Source organism: Homo sapiens, chromosome 18, assembly GCF_000001405.40.
Source record: "Homo sapiens chromosome 18, GRCh38.p14 Primary Assembly".
Classification (NCBI taxonomy): Eukaryota; Metazoa; Chordata; class Mammalia; order Primates; family Hominidae; genus Homo; species Homo sapiens.
The window spans coordinates 79,773,604-79,783,524 of NC_000018.10; positions in this window are offsets into that span (position 1 = coordinate 79,773,604).

The window sequence follows — 9,921 nt, forward strand, 5'->3', positions numbered from 1 at the left end:
ACCCATCTGAACAACCCAGAGAAAGCAGGCTGAGGAAAATGCGCAGATATTCGTATCCAACATGTGTATCTTCAGAGTCCCAGGGTAAGGGGAGGAACATGAGGCTGAAAGTCGGGGATGTCGTGGCCAAGACTCAGCACGTTTGGCAAAATACAGAAACCTGCAGATCCAAGGAGCTCACAGTGCCAAGTAGGACAAACCCAGACACACCAGAATTAAACATCTAAAAACTAAAGATGAAGATGAACGCTTCGCACAGCCTGGGGAAGGACTCACGGCCTGCAGGGAACCCCAGCTCAAGTGGTAGTGGGTTTTCCATCTGCATCGTGGGGCCCAAAGGAAGTGGGACTGTTTTTAGGCACCGAAAGAAAAGAAGCTCCAAGAGTCACATCTGGCAAAACTGTCCTCCCTGGAGCCCAGGGCAGCCACCCGCATTCCCGGGATGATGTTGGACGTGCACATGTTTCTGCAGGGGCTGCTGGGCCCCACTTTATGGACCTGGACGTTACTGTGAGTCAAAGAGGAAGATGCATTCACAGCAGGTCTGTGGCTCGAGAAGGTTTGCACCTTGGTAAAATGTTAAAGGAACAGCAGCAAACGGTGACTGAGGGTGAAGAGGCGAAGCTGCACCAGCAGTGGAGGTCACGGGCGAGGGTGCCAGGTGGGGCGGCGGCAGCAGTGAGCCCCAGGTACTGCCCACCTGCAGCAGGGACCTCACATACCTGTGGCCCGGCCAGTGGGCCCCCACCTGGGCGACCGGGTGAACGGACAAGCCCCCCGGGACCATGCAGGCACCCACCGTCAGCGGGTGTCGTGTGCACAAGGCTTCACACGGCCCAGCCCATCCTACCCAGACTGCAGATTCTGAGCGAATGATGCTGTTGCTTGTCAGCCACTACGTTTTAGGCTTTTGTGGGGGTTTTGTTTTGTTTGGGACAGGATCTTGCTGTGTCGCCCAGGCTAGAGTGCAGTGTTGTGATCACAGCTCACTGCAGCCTCCACCTCCTGGGCTCAAGTGATCCTCCTGCCTCAGCCTCCCAGCTGACTGGGACTACAGGTGCACGCACAACATGGCATCTGGCCCGAAGGGTTTTTTTGAACCCAGCCTGATACCATCATACTCGGAACACTTTTAAAGAAACCATGTTCCTCTAAAACGTACCAAGCGAGGGCAGCCCCCTCAACCCAGTCCCGGATAAATCAACCCAATGGTGTTTCGGAACCCCACAGAGGCAACATTAAACCCAAACCTTAAGGCCATTTCAGGTCACAAAGAAAGGGTCTTATTCCAGAGCGTGGAGTGTTCAGTCCGGCACATCAATCAACACCTGAATGTTCCTGTAAAGGGAGGTGTCCCGCACCGTTCCCGTCGCATGATCTCACGCGTGGAGTCAACAGAAGTCGAACTCAGGCAGGAGTGGGAGGGTGGGCTCCAGGGTGGGGAGGGGCTGGGGAGAGGGTTGGTGGAAGGACCCCATTTCTGCTACATGGGAGGGGATGCTTTGAGTCCGTAACATGGTGGCCCCTGTCCTCAGGGGACACATTCCGATCCCCTACACATGCCAGAAGCCCGATACGTGTGCTATGCACTGATTTCTTTATCCTTGTTAATAGTTTAACCAATAGAAGATTCCTTCTTTTGGTGGATTCTTAGCAACCTCAGCATGTGACTTTTTCCCTGTCTTTCCTGAGCCGAGAACTTTCACCTTTCCACGTAAAGACAGCACTTTAGGCTTCTCCTTGGCAGATCTGAATTGCCAGCATCATTGCTCTTGTGCTTTGGGGCCAAACATTATTAAGCAAAATGAGGGTCACTTTACACCAGCACTTTGGTACCGTGACAGTCAGACAACTGAGACGGCTCCTGAGCAACCAACAGCAAGGGGCGCCTGCAGCGTGGACGATGGGCGGGTCCCGTCCTGGGTGGGGCAGAGCGGGATGGATTCTATCGCCTGCTCAGAACGCTGCACGATGTAAAACTGGTACTTGCCAGGGACAAGAAGGACCATTCAGCTTTGGGACGTGACCAGGAGGTCTCAGAGAGAAGCAAACAGCTGCGTCCCTGTGCTGAGGCCGCTGGCGTGGGCGCCTGTCCTGGAGCCCGGGGTATTGGCAGCGCCCAGGGGGAGCCCAGCGACCCATTGTGGCTCCACATCCCACAGGTTCACCGGAGACAAGCCTTTGTTTTTGCAGCCACCGTCTTGGCGTAGCAGCTACAACTCCTCCCCTGAGGTTTCTGGCACTCCGTTCTCCCTGCGCACTCCCCAAGCACCTCACTGAAGCCCCCACTCCCGGCCCTTCCTGTCTCCGTCACGGGGCCCAGCACAGAGCGGGCACTCAGAGTCTACTCGCTGGTGCAGAAGAGACAGCAGCATTGAGAACGGGCGCTTCTGGCTCCAGGAGACAGCAGGGGAACCATCCAAGAGGGTCCTGCTGGGCTCCAGGCTCAGGACGAGGCCCTCGCAGGTGCCTGGGGGTGCAGAAAGACCAGGAAGATCAGGGGTGGCGCTCCAGTGCCCCCGGCACACCCATCTGTCGGTATCCAGGCTGGATCTCCATACAGGATTTGGATTGAGGAAGGGGTTCCCTGATAGATAAAAGTAGTAATAATGACAACATTGTTATAATAATGAGGACGTTTGAAATATCACTGGTCTAAGTGACTCACCAGGTACTTTTGGCACCAAAAAAGAAGAAAAAAAACACACGACATTGTCTTTTCTTTTTTTGCTGAAAAAGCCGATTGTTTCAAAACACAGGTGGAGAGCAGCCCAGCCTGGCCAGAGCTTCTGTGCAGCCTAGAAACGCACCGCTCAGCTCATTCATTCCCATCCAGGACGCAGCCGCCCCCCTTAGTGAAGAAGAGAGCACAGCCTGGCCAGGCGCGGTGGCTCACACCTGTAATCTCAGCATTTTGGGAGGCCGAGGTGGGCAGATCACAAGGTCAGGAGATTGAGACCATCCTGGCTAACACAGTGAAACCCCGTCTCTACTAAAAATACAAAAAACTATCCGGGCGTGGTGGCAGGTGTCTGTAGTCCCAGCTACTCGGGAGGCTGAGGCAGGAGGATGGCATGAACCCGGGAGGCAGACCTTGCAGTGAGCTGGAGAGAGCTCTAGGGTGGAGGACTGTCCTGGAGGATGAAGACAGCTCTAGGGTGGAGGACTGTCCTGGAGGATGGAGACAGCTCTAAGGTGAAGGACTGTCATGGAGGATGGAGACTGTTCTAGGGTGCACTGTTATGGAGGATGGAGACAGCTCTATGGTGGAGGACTGTAATGGATGACGGAGACAGCTCTAGGGTGCACTGTCATAGACAATGGAGACAGCTCTAGGGTGGAGGACTGTTCTGGAGGTTGGTGACAGCTCTAGGGTGGAGGACTGTCACAGAGGATTGAGACACCTCTAGGATGTAGGACTGTCATGGAGGATGGAGACAGCTCTAGGGTGGAGGACTGCCATGGAGGATGAAGACAGCTCTAAGGTGGAGGACTGCCCTGGAGGACTGAGACAGCTCTAGGATAGAGGACTGTCCTGGAGGATTGAGACAGCTCTAGGGTGGAAGACTGTCCTGGAGGGTTGAGACAGCTCTAGGGTGGAGGACTGTCACAGAGGATTGAGTCACCTCTAGAGTGTAGGACTGTACTGGAGGTTGGCGATAGCTCTAGGGTGGACTGTCACAGAGGATGGAGACAGCTCCAGGGTGAAGGACTGTCCTGGAAAAAGGGACAGCTCTAGAGTGGAGGACTGTCCTGGAGGATGGTGACAGCTCTAGGGTGGAGGACTGTCATGGAGCATGGCCATAGCTCTAGGGCAAAGGACTGTCACGAAGGATGGCAATAGCTCTAGGGTGGAAGACTGTCCTGGAAGACGAAGATAGCTCTAGGGTGGACTGTCATAGAGGATGGAGGCAGCTCTAGGGTGGAGGAATTATCCTGGAGGGTGGTGACAGCTCTAGGGTGAAGGGCTGTTCTGGAGGGTGGTGACAGCTCTAGGGTAGAGCACTGTCACGGAGGATGCAGACAGTTCTAAGATGAATGACTGTCCTGGAGGGTTGAGACAGCTCTAGGGTGGAGGACTGTCATGGAGGATGGAGACAGCTCTAGGGTGGAGGACTGTCCTGGAGGATGGAGACAGCTCTAGGGTGGAGGACTGTCATGGAGGATGGAGACAGCTCTAGGGTGGAGGACTGTGCTGAAGGATTGAGACAGCTCTAGGATGGAGGACTGTCCTGGAGGGTTGAGACAGCTCTAGGGTGGAGGACTGTCCTGGAGGACGGTGACAGCCATCGTATTGAATGGCTCCCACACAGTTGGGAAGGCAGCAGGAAATGAGGTTATCTAAAAAAATTCAAGTGGGACTTGTAGACTTCCGAGAGTGGTGGATATTTTGGGGAGTGTTGGTGGGGTCTGTGCCGTGTAGGTGAGCCTCACACTGCACAGCCGTTCACATTCGGGTGTTAGCTGTCCTCTGGGTTGGATAGCCTGGGAAAACGATATTTAATATGAAGACAGGAATGAAAAGGCTGTGCACCTGCATGCAGAGGCGAAACCTGTCTGCAGCTGTGTCTGTCTTTGGTTCTTTTTCTGCAAGTTCCCGCTCTTCTTCCTCCATGCTCCTGTCCCTTCCTGATTTGAGAAACTCCTGCCCCAGGTGGTTCTCATTTCTCCTGCTCGCCACAGCCTTGCCCTCTGTGACCTCTGGTCCGTGGCCTCCCCGTGCGGCTGGGCAGCCTCATCACTGCCGAGGCCGGGGTGGTGCTCCCTTGAGGCACGAGCATGTTGAAGCATTAGCAGCTCCAGGTCTGCCCAGAGGAGGGCAGGGGGCGTGAGCTCTTCTTCCCGGATTCCTGACTCTCCAACTCTTACATGACTAGGAGTCCACACAGCTGACAGGCCGTGCAGGGGCCGGAGGCTGAGGCCGAGGCCACGCTCTCTGCACTGGAGTCGTCGTGGTTGCCCTGCTGCCGTGCGGGGAGCCGCTGTGTGCTCCCTGTCCCTGCTGAGCCCTGAGCCCCGATGCAGAGGGAGAGGCCTGCTCCACGATCTCACGACGCCAAGTCTGTGCTCACCGGCTCCAAGAAGCACTCGCGGCCGCCTGGCCCAGGGGCTCTGATCTCAGCCTGAGTACACTGGGTCTTTCTTAAAAAGGCATCTCTGAGGAGGGAGCCTCGAATTTGCTGCTTAACCTTCTGTGTGGTTTAGTCAGACAGTGAGGGGTGGGGCGGCCCCGGACCCCCCAGTGCAAAAACAAGTGTCCAGAGATAAAGCCTCCTCAGGGCTGCAGCTCCCAGGAGCTGTCTGAGAACAGAAGGTAAAGAGAGAGAAGAAAACCTGAGGACCTTCATCAGAACAGCACACAGAGTAACAATAAGGGGTTCTTGTTCCAAAGTTCGTTGTCTTTAAAAAATCTGTTATGTGAAGTATGTCAAAGAGATCAGGTATTAAAAAAAGGTGTATGCTGAAGACAGCATAAGCTACAGATGTATGTATTTAGCTGTGGTTTTCCATTTCAGCAACAGAAAAAGATACAAATATGACACCCACGCGCATAGGAACTTAAATTTGTTTGCATATATTACATTATAAATACATATGTGCCTTTTAAAAGATTATTCCTGGACCCGGCCCCACGTGCAGCGTGCGGAGTGGTTGTTGTCTTAAGAGATCCACATCCCCCTCGGCTTGGAGGAAAACAGGATGACACGTTCCCAGCCATTCTCCCGTTCAGTCACGTGGGGTCGGTGGGCCGATCACTCGCCATGGGCTCTGAAAATACGTGTGTGGCTTAATTTCGAGTTCTCACAACTCTTGAGAAAAGTGCTGTGGGTGGGTTGCAACAGCCCACACCCCCTTCAACAGTAAAGCCCTCTGGAACAGCGCCCACGTTGCAGAATGCCTGCAGCCAGCAGCCGCCCTGCCGGCCTGGCCGAGCCCCTGGCCCCAAACGGAAGCATCTGCCTGGTCATCACCCAACGCACACCGCCCACGAGCCCCCCAGGGGCGCGCAAGGCAGTGTGGCCATCGGAAGACTCCATCATGGAGTGCACGTTGTCAGGTCCCTGCACAGACTCCAAAGCCCGGGGCCTCAGCCTCCGCCGTGGTTTAAAAGCCTTTGTCAGCCATCCTTGGGCCAATCACAGTCCTCTGCCACTGAAAACGTGTGGTTTGATGGAGAAGAAGTGATTTCCAAAGGGAGGTGCTGGTCCTATGAGAAGGGCGGTTTAGGGCAAGAAAAATAACTGACGTCACTCCCCCGCACACAGGCCCAGACTGGGAGGTCGGAGGCCGGAGGTCGGAGGGGACGCACAGGAGAGGAAATCCAAGTGGGTCTTTACAAAAGGAAGGGGTCACCTGTGCAAAGTGTGGGCGGGCCCGCCCTGACCTGGCACCAGAATCCGGAGCCAGAGGCCGTCTGGGAAGGCCAAGCACAGACACTGGCCGTGGCCTGAGAGGACTCAGCTCTGGGCACTGAAGAAGCCAGAGGATTGGGAAGGAGCACCCCAGATCCAGCCTTGGTGAGGAAGAAGCAGCGACCCCTGTGAACATCAGTGCTGGCCGGGTGCACACTGTCCGCCCTGGTCCAGCCAGGACTTTGCTTCCTGCATCTTAGACCCTGCTGACCTCACCCTCCAGAGGCTGCCCTGTGAACATCAGTGCTGGCCGGGTGCACACTGTCCGCCCTGGACCAGCCAGGACTTTGCTTCCTGCATCTTAGACCCTGCTGACCTCACCCTCCAGAGGCTGCCCTGTGAACATCAGTGCTGGCCGGGTGCACACTGTCCGCCCTGGTCCAGCCAGGACTTTGCTTCCTGCATCTTAGACCCTGCTGACCTCACCCTCCAGAGGCTGCCCTGTGAACATCAGTGCTGGCCGGGTGCACACTGTCCGCCCTGGTCCAGCCAGGACTTTGCTTCCTGCATCTTAGACCCTGCTGACCTCACCCTCCAGAGGCTGCCCTTTAATGCTAGTCAGGGGCTTCCCGGACTGGGACCCTGTTAGTCACTTAAAAATCCTAAGTCCCGGCCATGCACAGTGGTTCACGCCTGCAATCCCAGCACTGTGGGAAGCCAAGGCAGGCAGATCACTTGAGTGCAAGAGCTCAAGGCCAGCCCAGGCAACATGGTGAGACTCCATCTCTACAAAAAATAAATAGGTCAGCCGGGCGTGGTGGTATACGCATATAGTCCCAACTACTTGGGAGGCTGAGGTGGGAGGATTGCTTGAGCCTGGGAGTTTGAGGCAGAAGTGAGCCGTGATCACCTCCCTGCACTCCAGCCTGAGCGACAGAGTGAGATGCTGAGTCAAAAAAAATAAATAAATAAACAAAATGAAAGGCAAGACACTGAGCACTGGGTGAGGTTCCACATTTCACGTCCAGGCAGGGAGGCAAGAGCGGCGGACCCCGCTTCTCTCACCTGCATCTCAATCTGCCCTCCTTTTTCTCCCTATGAAGCTTATTGCACATTTTCAGGTATTTCCAGTTTACTCACACATGCACATACGTATTAAGCAAACGGTAAGAATTATAAAGAAATCTGCATGTAAACAGAATTCCCCAAGAATATTTGGCCGTGTGATTACCTGATATGAGACATGCAAACCAGTTATAACAGGTGAGCCTGAGAGCCTTGAGCCTCCAGACCGTTTTTCCTTCAGGGTTCCATTTGAGTGCAGTAATCCGCCCATCACTCACAGGTCAAGCAGGAAAAGCAGTGTCACCACTGTACAGGCATCACCACTGTGCTGCTAGGCCCGGCTCCAAAATAACCACAGCTTGACCTGCACCCTCCCTGGAGTTAACACCACGGTCACCACGTGCCCCGCCAGGGCTAAGCCAATGAGAAGGTCCCTGGTTTCAGAACTGAATAAACAGCCACCTCGTGGCATGAAACATATCATGTCCTTGAAAACTGGAGCTGCTCTAAGGTTGCCTTTGCAAATGAAGTGACCTCCTGTCCCTGCTGGTCTGGAGATATCTCGCCAAGGCCCGGGCGCTGAGAACTGCGTGCCACCTCCTATGTGACTTTTCTCCTCAGTCGTGTCCCAAGCATGCAGCCCCGGCCTCCACACCAACTCCGCATGTTGAGCATGCCTGGTGGGGGGGGCGGCCAGGAGGAAGCAGAGCCAGGACTGGCTCCCAGCATCCCTGATCCCCCCAAGGTGCCCTCCTCGCCAGGGAAGAAGTCCCAGCTAAGCATCAATGAGGCTTATCCTTGAGGGAAAGGCCTGGAGACCTCTGGGAGCACCAATGGTGGCCCAGGCCCCGCTGTCTGGCAGGGCACGTGGCACTCCAGGGCTCATCTTCCACCATAACAGATGCGGGAATGTGGGGACCTTTAAATCCCGCTCGGGTTTTGTACAAAGGACATCTTAGGAGAGACCTTCTCCCTCTGCACGCTTCACAACAACGCTCATCTCCCATGAGCCCTGGTGTTTCTCTAGATCCAAAGGGCTGTACGAAGGGCACCTTAGGAGAGACCTTCTTCCTCTGTGCGCTTCACAACCACGCTCATCTCCCACGAGCCCTGGTGTTTCTCTAGATCCAAAGGGCTGTACAAAGGGCACCTTAGGAGGGACCTTCTCCCTCTGCACGCTTCATAACAACGCTTGTCTCCCACAAGCCCTGCTGTTACTCTAGATCCAGAGGGCTGTTGCATTTCCTTCTAAAATTCAAATGTTCCCCTTTATAACTTGGCAGAGTCCAATTTGACACAAAAAAACAAAAACAACAACAAAACCCCACATTTTAAAGCTATAGCAGCATTTGGCATTTTTTCTCATCAGTGGCAAACATCTCCCTGGTCGCTGCACCTGCCTGGAGATTCCCCAGCAGCCCTCCCCAGCATCTCGCAGCGCCCACCATCGCTCTCTGTACCTGTTTGAAAAGCTGCGGAGCCTTTGTATTTTTGGTCCTGATAATCTCTGGTTCATAAGTGTTGAGGGGTAAGGAAATGTAGTAAAATATGTGGGCAGGGGAACAGTTCAGATGCCGGGCTTCTACCCCCCAGCGTGCAGCTTCCCTCTCAGGCTGAAACGCCGACTCTGCAGCCCGGCGACTGCTTCCCAGGTGACTGTTTCCAGAGTCAGGTGTTGGCCGTGGTCAGGTTGACCTGCCTGTTTGTTTTCTATAAGCTGTGTGTGTTGTGCCCGGGTGTAGATGCCCTGAGGTTTCACGGCCCCCCAGCAAGCAGCCCCAGGCCCGGCACCGGATGGGCCCTTCATACCCATTCACTGTAACAGACAAGCAGACGGATGAGGCCATCGTGGTCCCTCTGAATAAACGATGCTTCACAGAAGTCTCCCCTTTCAAAACACGTACAGCGAATGACTCGGGCTTCAGAGCCACCCTGGGGTGCCGTCGGCTGGTGGGTGATGGAGCGGCTCTGCCTGGCTCCTCTCGGCTCTGGCGCGGCAGGTCTTCCTGCTTTCCAAGCCCGTGTCCCTGGTGCCAGCACAGAACTGAACTCCGCCCTTGAGTCGTGCGGGACGAGACCCCGTGCTGCGGGCGCAGTGCCCTCTGTGGGCGGCGCGTGGTGGCTGTCCTCCGTTTCCCACCCGGCGTCTACTGGGCCTTGTCCAGTATCACTGGGAGCTGCAGGCTCGGCTAGCAGGTGGCTCCCGTGCCATCCCCGTGAGCTCCGCCTGGCCCTGCTGCTCCCGCCCGGAAAGCTCAGACCCATAACCCAGCCCACTTGGCAGCAGCGTGCCGCCTGATCGGCAAGGTTTACTCCCTTTGAAAATCTCTGTTGGGTGGCCGGGCGCGGTGGCTCACGTCTGTAATCCCAGCACTTTGGGAGGCCAAGGTGGGCAGATCACGAGGTCAGGAGATTGAGACCATCCTGGCTAACACGGTGAAATCCCGTTTCTACAAAACACACACACACACACACACACACACACACACACACAAAATTAGCC